The 21659-nt window shown below is 40.3% G+C and overlaps 2 long non-coding RNA genes across 2 annotated transcripts in view; one reads left to right on the top strand and one right to left on the bottom strand.

The window, feature by feature from the left end:
- Positions 1-21659, top strand: part of NR2F2-AS1 (NR2F2 antisense RNA 1) — a 200002-nt gene that overhangs the window by 84777 nt on the left and 93566 nt on the right. The window lies entirely within an intron of this gene.
- Positions 15242-21659, bottom strand: part of LOC112268156 (uncharacterized) — a 236909-nt gene continuing 230491 nt past the window's right edge. Inside the window, exon 2 of the long non-coding RNA XR_002957737.1 lies at positions 15242-15312. This is a non-coding gene — a long non-coding RNA (uncharacterized LOC112268156). The remainder of the gene's footprint in view (positions 15313-21659) is intronic.

Genomic DNA, 21659 nt, shown 5'->3' with positions numbered 1-21659 from the left:
GGAGACAAACACATAAGGTAAAACTGCACTCCAGCCTGGACAACAGAGTGAGACTCTGTCTCAAAAAAAAAAAAAAAAAGAATACAATTGTAGGGGGTATATTTAATAAAGCATTTTCAGTATCTGGTAGATTAAGAAAACAACAGGCCAGGTGTGGTGGCTCATACCTGTAATCCCAGCACTTTGGGAGCCCAAGGCAGGAGGATCAATGGGTCAGGAGTTTGAGACCAGCCTGGCCAATATGGTGAAACTCCATCTCTACTAAAAATACAAAAATTAGCCGGGTGTGGTTGCAGGCACCCGTAGTCCCAGCTACTAGGGAGGCTGAGGCAGGAGAATTGCTTGAACTCGGGAGGCGTGGAGGTTGCAGTGAGCCGAGATCATGCCACTGCATTCCAGCCTGGGTGACAGAGTAAGACCCCCTCTCAAAAAAAAAAAAAAACCAAACAGTAAACAAAGATATAGTGGATTTCAATAAGATAGTCAATAACATGGAACACACAAACACACACACACAGATCTATGCAAATGTGTGTGTGTGTGTGTGTGTGTGTGTGTGTGTGTGTGTATCAAGGTACTCTACAGGAATTTTTATCTTTATCTGTGTCCATAAAGCATTTGTAAAAGTTAATAGGTAACTGACCACACAAAAAAACTAAATGAAATTTAAAAAGTAGAGGTTTTATAGGCTACATTTCTGATCATAATGCAGTAAAACTAGACATGAGCATAAAAAGTTGACAAAAAGTTCTTAAAATTAAAAACACTCTTTTAAATAATCCTTGGATCAAAGAAGATAACCAAATTAAAGTTATGAATTAGAGTAATAAAAGTATTTCCTACTATATAGGACATTCAAACAACTTTGTACTGAGGCAAAAATTATACCCTTAAATTGTGTTTTTTGTTAAAAAAAGATTGAAAATAAATTTTAAAATACTGAACTTAAATTCTAAAGTAACAATAAAATATGAATGAGGAAGGAGGGAATTAATAAAGATAAAAGCTAAAACTAACAAAATAGAAGACAAACATAAAAACGGATAAGTAAAATCAAAATTAGGCGCTTTAAAAATATTGATGAACTGGATACAATTCTGTCTATTATGACTGAAGAGAGAGAGGGAGAGAGAAAGAGGGAGAAAATGAAATGAATATACTATTATAAAGGAACTACAACCACAGATATGAAGAAGATAAGAAAATTTACTGGTGGATATTATGTACAACTCCACAGGAATAAATTTGGAAGCCTAGAGTAAAGGGATTTTTTTTAAGTAAAAATATAGACTCTGGAAATCAGTTATAGCATGAAGAGATAGGAAATACAAATAAATCAATTAGTAGTAGAAGAGTCTGGAAAGTGAAATACCTTGCATTAAAAAAGGCACCAGACCCAGATGGTTTTACAGATGACATTATAGTCTTTTAAAAAAATCATTTGCAGTATTATATAAACTTTATTTGACCACAACAAGGAATGACATTCAAATTGTTTTGTGAAGATAACTTGGAAAGACAGTACAGAATTTGAAGACCAATTTCAATAAAGAATTATGAAGAGATTTTAGCAAATTAAATTCCATCAGTGTATCAAAAAGTTATGACACCACTATCTATGACAATAGACTCTATCTATTGTCTATCTATGACAATAGATAGAGTCTATTACCAGAACTCAACAATGTGTCTCAGTTATTACAATTCTTTAGCAAATTATATAAAGGCTTCCAATTAGTTGTAATGGATGTGATGGTGGTCAATGAATCCTTAAATCCTGATTTCTGAATAACTTGTTGATTGCAGGAGTGGGGTAAGGGTAGAGAGTGGACATTAGTGGAAAAGAGTTATTTAGCTTTAGGCAAATGCATTAGTTATTTGTGCTTATTGATTTAATTTTTAGGATGCAAGTTGAAGAGAAGAGTGATGACTAAGCCATGGGCCTGTGATAAGTGCCTATCATGTTCCAAACCCTTGACTAGGGTGCTTTGCATACAGTGTCCTTTCATTTAACGATTTAATCAGGTCTGGGTTAATATGCTGAGCACACACTCATTTTAATAGAATGCCTTCCAGAAACATTCATTGAGGACCAGAAATCAACATATCATTTTAGAAGAAGTTAGGTAAAAAAGGGGCTTATGCATCGAATGTGATTATTGCAATTGGTTGCAGATAAACACGTTAAATACTTTGCTGACAGATTTCGTTCATAAGACACAAGATATAGCAATTTCAACTGATGTGCGAGTTCATAGATGTTCACGTTGCTTTACAAGTTCATTAGAATGGTTTTGCTGGCTGTAATCATAGAGGCATACATACGTCTGCTGCAAAGACATCAGAGCTCACCTAATTTTCCTAGGCTATCTTAATAGGGTGTCTGCTGGTTGTACCATCTCTGAATGGGGAATCTCTTAATCTCACAATGCAAGGGCAGAGGCTTTCTTTTCCATCTGGCATAGCTCTATCTGAAGACCTTGGGGATCTTAGGGAGGAGAGTGATTTCCAACAGAAGGGAGAAGACCTTTGGACATATTTTTGTCATGAAGCAGCCTCCCATCCTTCCTTGAGTATGTTTCCTGCTACATCTGTCTCTGGCATAGCCTGGGTTTCTCCTGTTTGCCTTGAGAAGGGAGATTCTTTGGTACATTTACAGGGCCTTGAAAGCCTGGTGCCTTCCTAGAAGGAAGGAAATAATCTTTCTTGTACTACAGAAAAGAACAGAGCACAGCTCTGGCTAAAGTATGTTGCTAAAGAAATTTAAACAGAGCAAACTACGGATACCTCAGATGCAAGATTTTGTTACTTAACAAGTCGGAGTAATAACTACTAAGTCAATGAATCTAAGTCTACCCTATAAACAAGGATTATGATATTTAAACAGGGCTTTGGCTCACGACAATTATGTCGGCAGCCAATTGTGATAGCTACCCTGTCTTTCTGCTTCATCACTTGAAGCGACAGTCTCCAGCTTTCCACTCCGCATCTATCATGAAGACACATTGATTTCCTTTCTGGAGAAACACATATTTCTTTTCTCCTGCTAAAAAGATAAATCTGACAGATTTTAATCAAATGTAGTTGTTCACAACTATAGAAATACATACAGTGCCACATATGAAAACAAAAATACAACACTCCCAAAGGAGAAGGAGTTCTATGGCCAAGTTTCTTTGTAGAAAAGACTTGCATTAATATACACACACACATGCACACACACACACACACACAGAAATAAAGTCTGAGAGTTGTGTATTTTAATATTTTTTAAGGTAGTGTATTTGCTTGTAGTGACATCAGCAAAGGTTGGTCTCAATTAAAATTTGCGCTAAAACTATGTTCTCTGTATTTTTGTTGAATTCTAAGATTCTGTAATGTTGGGCTTTGGTCTTTAAAATGAAGTCTTTCCCAAGATAAAACTTGGCTTTCAGAGGGAACACCGTTTGAGATACCATGTGGAAAAATGAAGAAGTACCATGTCTTGTATCCAACGGACTCTACTAACTGTATTTTTGTTTAGTATGTGGCTATGACGTGACCCAGTGTGTCATAGAGCACCTGCATTATTTCATGTAGTGATTCTGAGTAGCTTTTATTAGTAGTCTCTTCAATGTGTCTAAGGAGATTCAAGATGTTATATCTACGTAAGATTTTTTTTCTGAATTTAGGTAAACATTTAAATGGATTTTTTCTTAAGATGGTATTAAAAGTCTGTGGGAGAGGGACTGAAAATTATCAAGGTTTGATGCTTTGTACCACTCATTCATTGATTAGTTAGATGCCCCTCACTATGAGTTATGCATAAGCTGAGTTTTAATGACAATTTTCAAAATATCTGAGTTGTTTGCATGTTTTGTCTTTTCTTCTAAGTGAAGATATGGCTGATTGTGTTTTCATTAGAATGGAGAGCTTGGATGTCTTTTGTTCATACCTCGTGGCAATTTCCTGTCCAGGTATCTTGGTCTAGTACATCTTATTTCAGCTAATTCTCAGAGGACAAAATAAAAAATAATCTACATCATGAATGAAAGTGCAGAGATACAGTTTTAAGTGACCCTTAATCTAATCCTACCTTAAGTAGTCCATCATTTCAATAAAGTTTCAAAATTTTATTCTCATAATTTTGAATATTGTATTAAGATATATGATTCAAGAAGAATCATATATTGGGAAGAAAACTATTGAAAGTTGCTTTAATAATCCTACATAGTGATTCATAGTGTATATATGTATAGAATTTCTTTCGATGGGCAAAAATAGAGAACTATTTCTCTTTTAAAATGTGAACTTTAGGCTGGACACCGTGGCTCACGCCTGTAATCCCAACACATTGGGAGGCCGAGGCGGGCGGATCACCTGAGGTTGGGAGTTTGAGACCAGCCTGACCAACATGGAGAAACCCTGTCTCTACTAAAAATGCAAAATTAGCCGGGTGTGGTGGCGCATGCCTGTAATCCCAGCTACTCGGGAGGCTGAGGCAGGAGAATCACTTGAACCCGGGAAGCAGAGGTTGCGGTGAGCTGAGATAGTACCATTGCACTCCAGCCTGGGCAACAAGAGTGAAACTCCATTTCAAAAAAAAAAAAAAAATGTGAGCTTTAATAAATTCCCCTTTGGTGTGCTTCCATTGTCTTTTCTAAGTCCCTAAAAATTACAGACATTATTTTCCATATGATAATATACCCTAAGTGCCCTGCAGTGCATTATTGGGTTAATTTTGATGACTGCTTTGGTTTGAGAATGAACTGGCAACTCTGTTATCTGTCCTTGATGTGTCATTTACAGATATTTCACCCTGAAAAGCACAGGATGATAGGAGAAAGAGAAAAGATAAAAAGTGGCCAAATCAGAAGTTACCTTGTTAGAATAATTTTAGAAGAGGTTGGCATTTAACTTGTAAGAGGACTAAATTAACTTCTTAATGTAAAAATTAAGAAAAGGAAGCCAATAAAAGTGGGTGAACTTATTCATTTGAATATCATGGTGTCCTCATTAAGCCTCAGCCAATAAATCAGTGGTTAAAAATTTGTCCCAAATTCCATCTGGTACTTGTGTTATTTGAAAATTTAACCCAAAATGAAAGGCCATCCTGAGAAAGGAAATACGTGGTGTTTTCTTGAAAGAATATTTGCGATGCCCCAACCTACAGCTGCTAGAAGATATGAAGGCAAGCACAAAATACTACCTGGATCATGATTTATACATGCTGAACAGACAATAAACTCACTGCACTCCTTTGCCCCCACAGAAAGTGCTCACAGCTAGCTATAACTCCAGTGTGGTATTTCCAAGCAATATTTTCCAAAGTTACCAAGATTTTTCTTATTTACAAAAGAAGCAATTCATTTTGTAGGACATTTCAAACTGGCAAATGGCCAACAACAATTTTGACCAAAGCTGGGTGCAAAAGGTATTGCAAAACACAAAGCAAAAGAATATTAAGGAAAGATGGAAACAAAAAGGAAGATTATTCATCCTTCCATATGGCTTTTTAAAGCCATTTACAATTATGCACCGCTTATAGTAGTTTCTATAACATTTTCTCCATTGAGAAGGCAGAAGACTGAATATGTTTGTGAATGCATTACAAAAGAAAGAGAAAGGATTCGGAATGACAGTGGAACTTAGCTGTTTGTTTGAGAATCTGCAGTGTGATAATGACACTGTTAACCAGGAGAATGGAGAATGTGATATCATTTGCTTTTCCAGAAAGAGATTTCGAGAACTTAACCAAAAATTAAAGTTGCTAGTGATAGTATGAAAAGTAAACAATAACAGCCCTACCACAGTTATGCATCTGATTGAAACAGGTACAGTATATCTGAGGTCCTAGAACCAGCATTTTGTTCATCTGTCTGCTACCCATGGAAATGTACTTCAAAAGAATGGAGAAAGCGTGGACTCTCTCAAGATGTATTTAGATAACTTTATACAATATGCACATTAGACCATGTGCCATGCCACCAATTCATGTCTTGGGCCTCCCATGGCTAAACTGTCAGGAGATTTATAGCTAATTAGGGGCTAAAAAAGATTCTGGGAGATTTCATAGTCCATTTCTTATTTGCTGAGGAAAGACTTTCTTACACAATTCCAGCTACATTAAAAGAGACTTTATTTGTCAAATTATTATTATTATTATTTGGATAGGGTTTCACCCTGTCACCCAGGCTGGCGTGCAACTATGTGATAGTAGCTCACTGCAGTCTTATACTCCCAGGCTCGAGAGCTCCTCACACCTCAACCTCCTGAGTAGCTGGGACTACAGGTGCATGCCACCACACTTGACTAATTAAAAAAATTATCTTTTGTAGAGACGGAATGTCAGTATGTTGCCCAGGCTTGTCTTGAACTTCTGGACTCAAGCATCCTTCTGCCTTGGCCTCCCAAAGTGCTGGGATTACAGGTATGAGCCACTGTACCCATCCCAAATTATCTACAGATATTTACTATCAATCCCACTCCTCTAGTATCATCATCACTTGACAAGTCCGGATCATCTGTTTTAAAGAAAATGGGCTGGGCACGGTGGCTCACACCTGTAATCCCAGCACTTTGGGAGGCCTAGGTGGATGGATCACGAGGTCAGGAGTTCAAGACCAGCCTGGCCAAGATGGTAAAACCCCATCTCTACTAAAAATATAAAAATTAGCTGGGCATGGTGGCGGGCACCTGTAATCTCAGCTACTCAGGAGGCTGAGGCAGAGAATTGCTTGAACCCAGGGGGGAGAGGTTGCGGTGAGCCGAGATCATGCCACTACACTCCCGGCTGGATGACAGAGCTGGATTTCCATATCAAAAAAAAAAAAAAGAAGATGAAAATTTCTTAACCTCCCTTTTCCAGCTGATGTGCGATGTCAGACAAGTCATTAACACTCTTTTTTTTTTTTTTTTTCCAGACAAGGTCTCACTCTGTCTCTCAGCCTGGAGTGCAGCGGTGAGATCATAGCACCCTGCAGCCCTACCCACCTGGGCACAAATGATCCTCCCACCTCAGCCTCCCAAGTAGCTGGGAGCACAGGTGTCCCGGCTAATTTTTAATTTTTTTGTAGAGACAGGGTCTCACAATTGTTGCCCAGGCTAGTCTCCTAGGCTCAAGTGATCCCCCCACCTCAGCCTCCCAAAGTGCTGGGATTATAGGAGTGAGCCACTGTGTCTGGTCATGAACACTGTAAACCTTAGCTTTCCCACATGGAACATGGAAATGACAATGCCCACCTCACAGAGGTGACATGTGCTAATGGATTGAAAGCACTAGCATAGAAAAACTTACTAAACAGGCTGGGCACGGCGGTTCATGCCTATAATCCCAGCACTTTGGGAGGCTGAGGCAGGAGGATCATTTGTGGTTGGGAGTTCAAGACCAGCCTGGCCAATACGGTGAAACTCCGTCTCTACTAAAAATACAAAAATTAGCTGGGCACAGTGGCACAATCCCAGCTACTGGGGAGGCTGAGGCAGGAGAACCGCTTGAACCCTGGAGGCGGAGGTTGCAGTGAGCCGAGATCACACCACTGCACTCCAGCCTGGGTGACAGAGCAAGACTCCGTCTCGGGAAAAAAGAAAAATACAAAAAGTAGCTGGGTGTGGTGGTAGGTGTTTGTAGTCCCAGCTACTCAAGAGGCTGAGGCAGGAGAATTGCTTGAACCCAGGAGGGAGAGGTTGCAGTGAGCCAAGACTGTGCCACTGCACTCCAGTTTGGACGACAGAGCAAGACTCCATCAAAAAAAAACAAAAAAAAAGAATGAAGAGCTTACTAAATACTAGAGAGCTAAAGACGGAAGTGGAAAGAAAGCAGGAGAAAATGACTTGGCTTGTGGCTTTTAGGCTTCCTTCTCAATCATTTCTATCCTTTCATTTCTGTTAATTTCAACAATGCTATCGACAGGAACATCTGCCAGATTCCTGTGATTCCTCCTCATTTTTTCCTGACATACTCCCTCGTCATCTTGTTTCAGACCATTCTGCATTTGGTATCTCAGAACTTGAAGAAAGTAAATCTTCTCTGGAAACAGAGTGACTTTCTACTGCAGAGGAAGCCACCACTCTTGGGTGTTCCCTGTGGTAAAATACGACTCTGATACAGCAAATGATGCCCTGGGGCTGAAGTAGCGAATCCTCTGTCCAAAGCACTCGGCCTTCCCCAAGATTAGTCATTTGGCTGTCTCTCTGCTGCTAGTAATTCAGAGATAATCATGTTACCAAGATGCCATTTAATCTGTATTTGGCGTATCTCAAGTTTTCATCTTCATTAATAGAGCCATCAGAGTTTCATCGGGCTTGACTGGTATTGGACACACCAGTGATTCACCCGGGGGGTGAGGTTTGCAGTTTGCATGGAGAAACTGTGCTTGCCAGATGGCAGCTGTTAATCTGCTTGCATCAGGGGTGCGAGGAGGCCTACGTTTGCCTGGCCCCTAGCCAGTGGGGCTCTCCCTCACCTCTGATTATACAATGACCTTGTGGCAGGCCCTGTTCTCCACTCCCAGCAGGCCTGAAGGCACTGGGGGGATTGGATGCCTGATGAAGGGAAGGAATACTTTTTCTGGCCTTCTTACAAGAAAGATTGCTAACCAAATCTTTGCTACCTATAGCCTAGGATATTGAAACATAAGCTCTCTATGGAAGTGTTGTAGGCCTTTCTCCTTAGTTCAGCTGAAATAGGGGTCTTGTCACACAACCACGAAATATTAGGCTTGCAGACACTTTGAAGGGTTAGAAAAACGGAATTTATTGGGCAAAAGGGAATAAAAGGGGAAGCAGATTCTCAGCATAGTGAGAGTCCTGCTAGTACAGGCTTCCCACCTCACAGGCTGAATCCCAGGTACCACCCAGGAAGAGAAGGAGCCAGGCTCCTCCCTCCTGCAAATGGCATGAGCTTCCCGAGACTCCACACTCCTCCCAGTGTGCAGGCCAGTCAGAGGTTCTCCAGGACCCCTTTATACGTGGCTGTCTCAGAGGGCAGTCTACGGTGGAAGGATGTGAACCTGGGAGTCAGAGAAACTTGGCTTTAAATCCAGACGCCAGCATTTAACTAGCGATGTGAAGTTAGGCAGATCACTTAACCTCTTTGAGCCCCAGATTCTTCCATTCACATGCTATGAACCTGATACCATCATCATGGTGGGTGCTTCATAGTCAACGCAGGGAAGTCAGATGGAGACTGATCCATGAGCCCCATGACCCAGCTGTCCTGCTCCTGGGAGTGGAACCCATCCCAGCATTGGGTGTGGTGGTGAGGATGGGGTGACTGAGGTGTTTTTCGCTGGGGAGATGGGTAGTGAGATGTCAGGGAGGCTCATCATACAATGCTATGCAGCAGTATGAAGCAGTGCAGATTAAATCTTAAAAACTGACTAAGAGGGAGGAAAACCACAAAAACATCTGTGGGCACCATTTATGTATAAACATACATATGTGTATATATGTAAACATGTATGTATATATATGCTTATACATAAACGTATGTGTATATAAGGTACATATACAGACAGAGCAAGGAAATTTGGGGTGTCTTATGAGAATGCATACAAACTCAAGGATGTCATCGAACACAATACTGCTATTGTTTATGGGTTGTGGGAGGAAAATGGAAGGGGAAAAGGAGATAAAAGTTAATGAACACATGAGTGAAGGGCTTGGCACAAACTTGTAACGATAGCGTGCTATGAGTTGAGGAGTATGACTTACTCAATGTTCTGTCCTGGGTCTAAAAGAAAAAGAAAAGTTCAACAAAAAAGTCAAGGGAAGGGGGAGAATATAATTCTCAGTAATGCTACGGGGGCTTCAGGGTCTGGGTGTGAGGACCGGCACCCATGTGGCTATGGAATAGCTCTCTCCCTTGGCTCTCTCTCTCTCTGTTGAGAGTGGGAAGAAATTTCAGGAGAAATATAAGGCATGGCCCAAGATACTCATTTGCTCTTATGTGAACTCTCGGTCTCTCAGTTTCTAGTTGCCTAAAGGCACTTCTCTAATTTTTCCCAATTCTCATTGCAGACCCAGTTTTGGTGACTTGGTCACTGCAGACCTTTCAGAATGTGTGGTGCTCATTCTTGTTAAACCAGTTGAGAATTTCCCCAATCCTTTGGCCCTGCGCACAAGTGTAGCTGCTCTTCCAATCAATGGGACCTTTGTATGCAGCAGGGCGGAAGGATATTATTATGTGACAAATGACCACAGGGAAACTCCCATTATTTTCCTTGTGTCTGAGAAATTATAAATGTGTAATAAGGAACACTTTGTAGTAACCCTTGTTAATTTATGATTTTAAATATGAATGTGAATTTATTGGAATGACACAATAAAGAGTCACCATGGGCACCGATTATAATTATCACCAAGTACAATGAAGCAGAGAAAGAAACTATCTCGCTCCTAAATGGCATCATCCATATAAGCCTTGCCTTGTTCAAAGCTACTCTGTAGTATTTTCTTTTAAATAAAATAAATAAGGCACAAATAAACAACATAACCTAAAGAGGAGATGGAATGGTCTATTTCTTTTTGTTTTTTGGAAGCTAAATTTTTGAGATAACATTAAAGATAAAAATCAGCAAGACACCTCTGGGCTACGAGAGGCTACTCTTATGTCACATGTCCATTTATCACCATCATCTTCTCTATGTTCTCTTCCCTTCCCCCCACTTTCTCCTCCTCCTACTTCTTGATTAGCCAGTCAGATGTCTTATTCTTCTGAAGGAAGTGATTTGTTCAGAGATGGGTACATGATACCAGGCTCTGCCAATACAAGGCTTGCCTGAGACATTGGTTGGAGATGTAAAGAAAGAAGTATGCTCACTTCTAGAAGAGCCACATATAAACCATTAACTGCAGTGAAGAAAGCCTGATGAAGGATGCCAATGGAGAAGGAAGCAGAGCAGCACAGAGCAGGAGCAATAGTTAGATGCGCATGATGACATTACTTGAGTACCTGGATCCAGCCACACCTGAAAACTGAACTCTCTAAACTCCTCACTTATTGGAACTAATATGTTTCTCCTTTTTGGTTTTAGTTGGTTTCAGTTGACTTTTTACTCATGGCAAACCAAAGATTTTTTTTTTTTTTTTTGAGACACAGTCTCATTTTATCACCCAAGCTGGAGTGCAGTGGCGCAATCTTGGCTCACTGCAACCTCCACCTCCCGGGCTCAAGCAATTCTCCTGTCTCCACCTCCCAGGCAGCTGGAATTGCAGGCATGCACTACCACGCCCAGTTATTATTATTATTATTATTATTATTATTATTATTATTTGTATTTTTAGTAGAGATGGGGTTTCATGATGTTGGCCAGGCTGGTCTCGAACTCCTGACCTCAGGTGATCCACCTGCCTCGGCCTCCCAAAGTGCTGGGATTACAGGTGTGAGCTGCTGCACCCAGCCAGCAAACCAAAGATTTCTGAGTAACACACCAAGTAAGAAAGGCAAACACTGCCACACTGGGAAGCACACACTCATTTATTAAACATTTAGCATGTCTTACTCTAGAACAGGAAGAGCATTTGTACAGATCATATGACTCATTTGAATCAATTTCAAACAAAGAGAACAAGTCTGTGCGTTAGTTCAAAGATGCCTGCCATATCTTTGGGTATCTAAATAAGTTCGCATGTGTGCTTTTACTTTAATAACCAAAAAGAAATGTGGCCATAGGTTGGGTTACCTGGATCATATATTCTAACTAGACAGTAATTCATAAATTCTGTGCCAGCAGTTTCATTTGTGACTACAGTTGCGTGAAGTCATGAAGAACTACTTTAATAGTCATAAGGTGATGAGCTGTATGACCTAAGGCAATTTACTTAACTTCTTTGTACTGTCAGTGTTTATCTGTCAAGTGGCAATAATAAGAGTATCTACTTCAACCAAACTTCCACCAATTCTTCTGAGTAATAAATAAGCAAATATATGTTAAGTGCTTAGAATGGTGGCTGGCACACTCACTCAGTAAATAATAGCTATTGTTATTCATTATCACCACCACCATCAACTTCATGTAGGAAGCTTCACAAGCAGTTTGAATAACTTGCAAATATGCAGAACTTTATTTACCACTTACAAAGTACTTTTGCCTGCATCATCCAATTTGAAACAGTAAATCTATGCTGCCACACAATATGCGTTTTACAGTTTGCCTTCTTGCAATTGAAAAGAGCAGTTTTTTTCAAATATTTACATAATATTTTGCAAGATGCACTGAATCTCGTATCACATATGAATGACTGAGGAACACTTTTTTTTTTTTCCTGCAGAAGAGTTAAACAAAAACATTTAAAATACAAATGTGGACTGGTTCTGGATATCTTTTACCAAGATTGGAAATTTAACTGCTTAATAAAACTTTGGTTATACCTGTTATATTTGTCAACAGACCTAATCATGGGAAATAAAATGTTACTTTGTTAAGAGTTACTTTATCTTTTCCTTAATATATCACTGATATCAAAAAGAAAAGGGTGAAGCAAATTCATACTTTCATGTCATTGGTCATTTAAAATATTTTTAAAGTTGGACCTCCTGAAAGACTTAGTGTGTTTCATGTCACCAACGTAAGCAGATTGTTGAATTTGACACATCTAAAAGTTTTCTTTGTTTATGGAATTTTCTCACAAAGACCTGCTTTCAAAATGCTAAAATATTCATTCATACTAAGAGTTTTGTTGTTGTTGTTGTTGTTGTTGTTTTGTTGTTTTCCCCCACACGAAGAAGCTTTGAATTAACTGGGTAAAATTTTTCAATAGTCTTTTTTCTTTTTTTTGAGATGGAGTCTCGCTCTGTCTCCAGGCTGGAGTACAGTGGCGCCATCTCGGCTCACTGCAACCTCTGCCTCCTGGGTTCAAGCGATTCTCCTGCCTCAGCCTCCCGAGGGGCTGGGACTACAGGCGAGTGCCCCCATGCCCAGCTAATTTTTGTACTTTTAGTAGAGACGGGGTTTCACCATGTTGGCCAGAATGGTCTCGATCTCTTGACCTCGTGATCTGCCCGCCTCGGCCTCCCAAAGTGCTGGGATTACAGGCGTGAGCCACTGCGTCCAGCCCTCAATAGTCTTGTTTAAGGAGATGATACAATTTTATTCTTGTATCAATTTCTAGAATTCATCAAAGTTTGCTAGTAATTCTTTTATTTTGGACCTTGATGGTATTTTATCCAATTCAGGGAAAACACACCTGCTTTAATAACTGCTAAGGGGACAAGGATGGTGTGGGAGGAAAGATTTATATAACTAGTTTTACAAGTGTAAATTTTAATAATTTCTTGTATAGCAAAACAAAAACCAAAAAGCATATACAATAAAACTTTCTTTGGTATTTAGATGGTATTTTTCTTGTCAGAGCTTTGGCCAGAAGCTAGAAGAAACAATTGAGTTCTGAATTGTTCTCCTCTGTTTAGGCTACCGTGTTACTAAAAGGCTTCTGATATTGCAACTTTTTTTTTTTTATAGTTAGTAAGTGTTCCTCGCTTGTATCCTTGATGGACTAATCTATTCCCCACCTAGAGAGTTTGAGTTATTTTCTCAAGAGTAGTTAGTTGTATTTTCTTCATTGTGTATCACAAGGTAAATGCTAAATTCTAGACATATATTGACACTCACAATTATGGACACCAATCATTTTGTGAAGGTAAGCCATACTTTTTAGGTTTTATGAATACTGAATGCATTTTAAAAGACAGCCAGATTCTCCCAGTGTTTACACAATGGGACTAAATGAGTGTTAATAACTTAGGTCTCTTAGAAGCTGTATGAAGATATGCTAACAAAATTCTTTGCTAATACACAGAAGAGATATGCCAGTGTTGGTGGTGTGTCTGTCCTAGAGAAAGGAACCCTAGGGACAGGCTTTCTTATTCAGCTTCATATCATCAATGAGCATTTCAGGGACCTTAGTGCTAAGTGTTCTTGAAGTGATGCTCAAATTTTAAATTTAAACTTCGCAAATTTTATGCACATATTTTAGGTGAGTAATGCAAGTTCAATCCAACACTCCATACACAAAGGGCACCTGGATATTCCTAGGTCTCAGTTATGGGAATACATGAAGTCAAATGAACATTCATAGCTCTTGAGATCCTTCCATGGCCCCAACAAGACCACCTGTCATGGCTGGTCCCTTCTTTTGCTTCATCTGGGCTCCACTGGGCCCAGCAGTTCTCCACTGTTGTTCCTGGAGGAGTCAGAGTGGCTGTGAAGTCTGTGGTGAAGTGTGTGGGGCAGATCCCTCTGTCTGTGTGTCTCACTTCATCACTTTAGCCTGTAGGCAGTACAGTTTGGACCTGAGTCTCATAATGGCTTTTGTGAAAGAGCGCATCAGACTGAGTTTCTGGCACCATCTGGGAAACACACAGCATTCTCTTCCATCTTGGCTTCCCATGTCTTCCCAGAACCTTGTGTTCCAAAGTTCTTTTTAGTCCAGACCCTCAGCAGTGTTGGACATAAATTCACGCAGATACGTGTTTTGGGGATAGCAGGGTAGGAAGTTTGTAGCCCCATAAGTCTTAGCACATGCCACACTACTATTAATATGTTTCCTTTTGACGGATGGCTCAGGCATAGAGTGACAATTTGATCTCAGAATATAAATAGACCCAGAGGTTTTATAAAAAGCTTCTTTTGTGATTTTGTGGTGATGACTGTATTGGACTTTTAATAAATTTACCACCTATAGATGATGGCTGTAGATACAGACACCAACACAAAGAGTGAATAAGAATTAAAGGAAATCTGTGAAAGATCAAAATAACAAGGAGATCATCATGGTATTTTTCCGGGGTGGTTCAGATATTGGAGAGGCATGGGAGTGTTCAGTAGTCAGTGACTTCTGCATGATATTTGCATAGAGAGAACTTTAAAAAGGTTGCATTTCTTTTCTGCTTTCATATTTACTTTGGGTTAAGGTTATAGGATCTCCTTGGCAATGTTGCTGATGCTATTTTTGTAAACCCCAAATCAGTGTTCAAATGTGGTGGGATGGAAATTTTGAGCTACAGCAATAATAAATACATTTTATGTCCCCGTAACATTCAAGCTGTAGTATGTCTAAGAGTCAGTGAAAGTTGTTTCCTGCCTTGAACTCTGAAGTAAGAAAGAAACTTTTGTTTATAAATGTTAGAGATTTTGTTTTTGCATTTACCGCAAAGTTAAGTGCAGATATAATCTAATCAGTTTTGGCAAAATATCAAGCGTGCTTGTTTGTTTGATAAGGGAGGGAAACCCCCAACTTTTCATGAGCGCAAGTCCTTTACCTGTGTTGAAGATACATGACTTCTGTCCATAAAGTCTTCGATCTTGTGGACTCATACAGAAAACACGGGTCCTGTACAGGAAATAAGAGGCAGACATGTACTCCAGAACATCTTTCTCATCCATTTTAATAATGTCTGGTTTTGAATTTATAGGATTTCATATAAAGGACCCCATTTATAAGTTTTTTATTCTTCTCCTCTAAAGATGTAAAACTTTATATGCTGATTCGAGTGAAATTGAGAGTAGTCAATATCAATCAAACAAAGATTATTTAATATGCACTTTAGCATATTCTATATTGGATTTCTTCACGAGAATATTTGATAAGAGAACAGGTGTGTGTGTGTGTGTTTCTATATCTATCTTTCTATGTTTTTCAACTCACCATGCTTCTACACTATAATCTCCTTGAAGGGCAGGGCCATGTGGTATTCATTTTGTTAACCTTGTAACACCTAGTGGGACACTCTCAAGACATGAAAACCAGTTTATAATTGTATCAACTTTACATTCTGGAAGATGCCTGTCAGTGGCCTTTTATGTACCTTGCACCCATCTGGTGGGGTGGATTGGGCAAGCCTTACAGTCCTTATTTTATAGAAGATGAATTTGAATTTCAGAGAGAGTGAGTGATTTACAATTCCGGGCATGTCTTTCACCCCATCCATTTCTTGTGGCCCATCTCTGGACACTTTATGTTGAGGGAAAGGAGCATTACCCTGCAAGCCTGGCAGGAAGAAGGGCTGCTGACAAATGGTGTGTTTGAATTTATGGGTTGGGCTAGTGACAGTTGACAGAGCCTTCCTATAGAGACACAGGATTCTCCATCACCACTGGCACTTTGCCCCTAGGACCACAATGAGTATCAAACCACATTTAAGACAACCGTGAACAAATTTCAGTGGGATTGGCAATGAGATTTCCAAATGGACAGATCTTCTGCCTGAAGGTGGTCATCAGCATGTCTATAGTGTATAGAGTTCTCTGCTAAATCCACAGCTTCTGCTTCACCTAACTTTTTTTTTAACCTGGTTTTGTTCATTGCAGATAGAGTTCTCTCTCTGATAGCCAGGAAGTTGTATTGAGAAGGGATCAGCCACAACAAGCTTGACTCACTGGGCACATGTTACCTTTTGTTTTTTGTTCAGCACCTCTTTATATAACAAAACTGTCTAATCTCTCAAAGTCGTAAAAGGTTAACATTTAACTAAGTCCTGCATGTCATTCTGGGATGGACATCATGACAGTTTGGCATGTCCTTTGGCATTGTGTTTGTGCTGATACATTTCCATTCAATTTACAAACGTTTCATTGAATGCATACCACATGCCAGGTGATAGTGCTGCTGCTGGGGAGAAGGTGGGAAATGAGGCATACACAATCCCTGCCCTCACAGAACCTAGTGGGGACAGATGAGAAGAAAGGAATGCCAGTGGAATTAGTGTGATGAAAGAACAATCCCATGAGATAGGAATAGCTTTTTTAGAGCGCTAGGCATTCTGAAACTTTCTGGTTATCTCAGATCTCAGATTGCTTAAGCTTCTTCATGCCCTTACAGGTAGGCTCCGGTCTTAGTAGCTCTGAAATATTGTGAAAGTTTCGTGACCTCTTGGGACCATAGTTTTATCATCTGTGAAACATAGACATTAAAGTGGAGGACTTTAAAAGCTTTTGCAATCCTAAAGTATCATTGTTGTATTATTGCAATAGCTAACATTGATCAAAGTCTGACAAGGTGCCAGGCACTGGACAGGGAGCTCTTATAAGCATTGTTTAATTTATTAAGTGATTTTTGTGGATCTTTTTGTATAAACCTGGATACAAGCAGCCTAAGGAGGGACATGGCAGGTACTCTGGTGAAATCCAGATAACCATCAAGGGAGCAGGTGGCTTTGTCTAGATCTCTTTCCCAATTTAGATGTTTTATATACTTTTCAGGGGAACTTGCATCACATCTGTACACACCTATGTTATATTTATATAATATTTGCATGTGAACTCTTTGTTCTATTTAAAAATGATCAATTTGATGCCTCAAAAGTTTTTTTAAAAGCATAAAACTCTAATGACAAAAAAGCAGTTTTCAAAGCAAAATGAAGTCCTCCCATTTGGTATAGTCATTTATTTTAAAAGACAGGTACATTTTAAATGCCCCCTATCCAGCTGTGTTCATCTATGTCTCCTTTTGTAGAGTTATTTAAGTCTTTTTGGAATTGCCTTGTGTCATTTTCAAATGTTCTTGAATTTAATGTCTGCACGACATTCTTAGGCAGACTTAGTCCTCAGCTACCTGCCAGGGATGAGTTCACATTCCTTTCAATAATGAGAAAGCAGGAAAATGGACAACACATTTGCAATAGGCTCAAAAACACCTGCCAGGGGAAAGAGATGAGCTGTTTGATGTCCCATGTCCCACCGACCTGGCAACTCTGTTAACTAACAGTGATGATGAAGAAGATGGTGGCAGTGGTGGTGGTGATGACAGGTGCGAATGTGGACTGAGCCACTCAGGAACTTGGAAAATTATTTGCATAGCTATTTCATTCAATCCTCATAACAACAAACTGAAGTAGACGTGAATATGTCCATTTTACAGGGATGAAACTGAGTCTCAATATTTGTAACCACCTTGCTCTAGGTTACTCTAGGTTACTGGACAAGGTGGGATTTGAACCCAGGTCAATCTAATTCCAGATCTCAGGCCTTGAGCTTCTACATGACACTAGTTTAATCCCTTCTTGCCAAGAATTCTTTCTAAGAGATAAGGCAAATCTGCTGTACTATCTTTAATTCTATAATGATATGAATAGAGCTATTATTATTTTAATATTATCAATTAGTAACTTAGAAATTCTCCCAAAGAGTCAAACAATTGGAAAAAGTACAATGTGGCACAAACCTCACAAACTTTTAGCAGTTCATTATTTGGTCCATGGGTGGGAAGGCAGCATGGCACAGAGGAAAAAGCCAGGACATGGGCTAGGCTGGGCTGGGCTGGGCTGGGCTGGGTTAGAGACCTGGGCCCATACTGCTGACTACATGGACCTGGCCCATCTCTAACCCCTCTAAGTCCTAATTTCCTCACCTACAAGGAGTGGCTAAAATGTCTTTGTTGAAAGAATGTTAGATTGATTGCAAATCATAAATTAAATGTGTCTGGGCAGTGTCTGGCAACGCAAGTGCTATGTGGTTCCTACTAGATAAATGGTAGAAAAGCTCTTGGCACAAACCGCCCAAGCCTGTCATGCTCCTGGGATAAGACTACCTTCAAGCCCTGCCTGATTTCATTCCTGTCCATGTCACCAGCCCCATCTTTAGCCATTTTCCTTTTCATTGATTTTTTTCTCATTTCTCATGTGGGACAGTGTCACCCTTCCACCCCAGGGTCTTTGAATATGCCATTTCCTTGGCTGAAAAATAATCTTTCACCCTTGTATGAATGCACTGTTCTGTCTTGTCCTTGAGATCTCAGCTCAAATGTCACTTCCCCAGGGGAGTCTTTTCTGAAGCCCCAAAGCATCAGGCCCCCCTTATAGATTCCCAGGGTGCTTTCCGATTTGGGATACCCTTCCCAGTGGTAATTAAGTACTTAATTCACCATTAATTGTTTAATGTCTGTCTCCATCACCAGCATTGACCTCCAACAGGGCAGAGGCTGCATCTGCCATATTTATTCTCTCTCCCCAGATCCTGGCATGGGGCGTCGCTCCTAGTTGGTGCTTGATGAATATTCATTGAATGAATGAATAAATGAGCTGATGAATAAAGGATTGCCTTATTTCAAGGATCCCCCTTTACACTTTCTAACCTGTTTTTACTAAAAGAAGACCACTTGATGTGAGCCAGGAAGACTTTTACCAAAAGTTTTTGCCAAAAGCTGTGCCCTTTTTACCCCTGATGAGAGCAGAACTTCCTGGGGGACCATTTGTTACCTGTGGCGCAGAAGCCTTGTGTACCAAATGAGCTGCATCCACTCCGACCAGAGCGATACACTGGATGATAAAAAGATATCACCTCCCTGAAACAGATGCTTCATTTTATGATAGAAACAGAGACGCTGAAGCCTGCAGGTGCCGGGCTGACACGCGCTCTGCAGAGAATCATTAGAGCCTCCTTAGAGAACTGGGTTTACTCTGTGTTTAATCAGCCCCAGGCAGAAGAAATGGCTTCATTTCAGCTCGACGAGAGCCAGATCACAAAAGGAAGATAGATGGCCAATACGGCTCATCACTATAAGCATATTGTCTTAATTTGAAGGAACAGCCTGGCACCCGTGCTAATCAGGAAAGAAAGTGCAATATGGCTAGCACTGAAGGCCAGTCAGTTTAACTCTCAGTGTACCCCTTAAGGAGAAGCTCTCATTTATTTTCTTAATTAATATTTTAAGGGAAGTGAGAATCACAAAACACATTACTCAATCACTTAAGAAGTTCCTTGGCTTAGAATTAAAGATGCTCCAGGAAAGACTTTTTATACCTGAAAACTGTGAATCTCTACCTAGAAAAAAGTCTTAAAGCCGGTGAATAAAGTGGCTTAGGAAGGTAAGGTCTATTAATTTGCTGGCTGCTTTTAATATTGGTCACGTTTGGCAGTTGATCCAGAAATAGCTACAAATAGAGACGACATCAGATCTATTGTGTGGAAACTTGCTGGTCTCTTGTAGGCTCTTGTTTTTCATGGCTCAGTCCTGTGCTTGTTCTTCACCACCCTCAGCTTTATTGAGGTGTAATTGACAAATAAGGATTATATATTTAGGCTGGACATGGCAGCTCATGCCTGTAATCCCAGCATTCTGGGAGCTGAGGCGGGTGGATTGCTTGAGCCCAGGAGTTCGAGACCAGCCTGTGCAACATGGCAAAACCCTGTCTCTACAAAAACACAAAAATTAGCCAGGTGTAGTGGCAGCTACTGGGGAGGTTTAGGTGGGAGATCACTTGAGCCCGGGAGGCTAAGGTTGCAGTGAACTGAGATTGAGCCAATGCACTCCAGCCTAGGCCACAGAGCCAGACCCTGTCTCAAAAAAAAAAAAAAGGTTATAACTTTAAGGCATGCAATGTGGGGTTTTGATATACCTTGTAAAATGATGACCACAATCATGCTAGTTAACATGTCCATCATGTCACATCATTACCTTTCTCTCCCTTGTGGTCAAAACATTTAAGATCTACTCTCTTAGCAGGCCAGGCACAGTGCCTCACGCCTGTAATCCCAACATTTTGGGAGGCCAAGTCAAGTGGATTACTTGAGGTCAGGAGTTAGAGACCAGCCTGGCCAACATGGTGAAACCCCGTCTCTACTAAAAATACAAAAATTAGCCCGGTGTGGTGGTGTGCTTCTGTCGTCCCAGCCACTCGGCAGGCTGAGGCAGGAGAATCGCTTGAACCTGGGAGGTGGAGGTTGCAGTGAGTGGAACCTCTGCATTCCAGCCTGGGCGATAGAGCAATATTGTATCAAAAGCAAACAAACAAACAAACAAACAAACAAACAAAAAACTACTCTCCTTGCAAACTGCAAGTATACAATACATTATTATTAACTAAGTTACTTTCTGTACATTAGATCTCCAAAATTTATTCACTCTGCATAACTGAAATATTGCACCCTTTCACTAACTCGCCCGCGTCCCTCCTCACGCGCTTCCCCTGACAACCATCATTGTACCCTCTTCATCTGCGTGCTTTTGCCCCTCTAGAACTTGCCTTGGTTAGGACTGCAAAATGGATATTCAGTTCAGTCGCTCTTAGCTTCTCGATTGCCCCAAAATGCCAGAAAAGGGATTTTAAGCTTGTGAGGAGCAATAATACATATCTGAACTCAGCATCCTTGCCAAACCTCTCTTATTTGAAGTAAAAGCAGATAATGAGTAGTGTGGGTACTTACAAACAAGTGGATGTTTTAGAATCATTTGGTATGTGTCACATCCATGTTTTCATTATATCCCCTGAGCCTTAGCACAAAGAGCTTTAACAGCCCTTCCACCCCAGCGACTGTTTTCCAGATGTTCTGAAACAACATCAAGTGACCCACTTTACCCCTGAGAGATACATAAAGGTGCATTTATGGAGAGACTGGATGAGTGAGGCTGAGACATTCGCTCAGCAGCTTAGTCCTAGATAATCTCCCATGAACGCAGTATCGAATCTTACTTTTTACCTAAGGCACATTGAGTACGGTTTCTAGAAAATGATATGCGAAACACTGCTAAAGTGAAGAAGAAACTTAAGAAGCTTAGCAACGGATGTAGAAATATTATCATCAGCTATCAGGGTAATAGTATCCAGTCATTTTCCACCTACAGGCACAAGATTTAGGCTTAAGCAGCTGAAGACAACACAGAAAGTGTGCAGTCTTAGAGTGTTTAAATATCGGCACGTCAAGGGGAAGGACTTTAAAACCTGGACAAGTGTCATTTGATTT

Source organism: Homo sapiens, chromosome 15, assembly GCF_000001405.40.
Source record: "Homo sapiens chromosome 15, GRCh38.p14 Primary Assembly".
Classification (NCBI taxonomy): Eukaryota; Metazoa; Chordata; class Mammalia; order Primates; family Hominidae; genus Homo; species Homo sapiens.
This window is presented reverse-complemented; position numbering and strand designations above follow the sequence as displayed.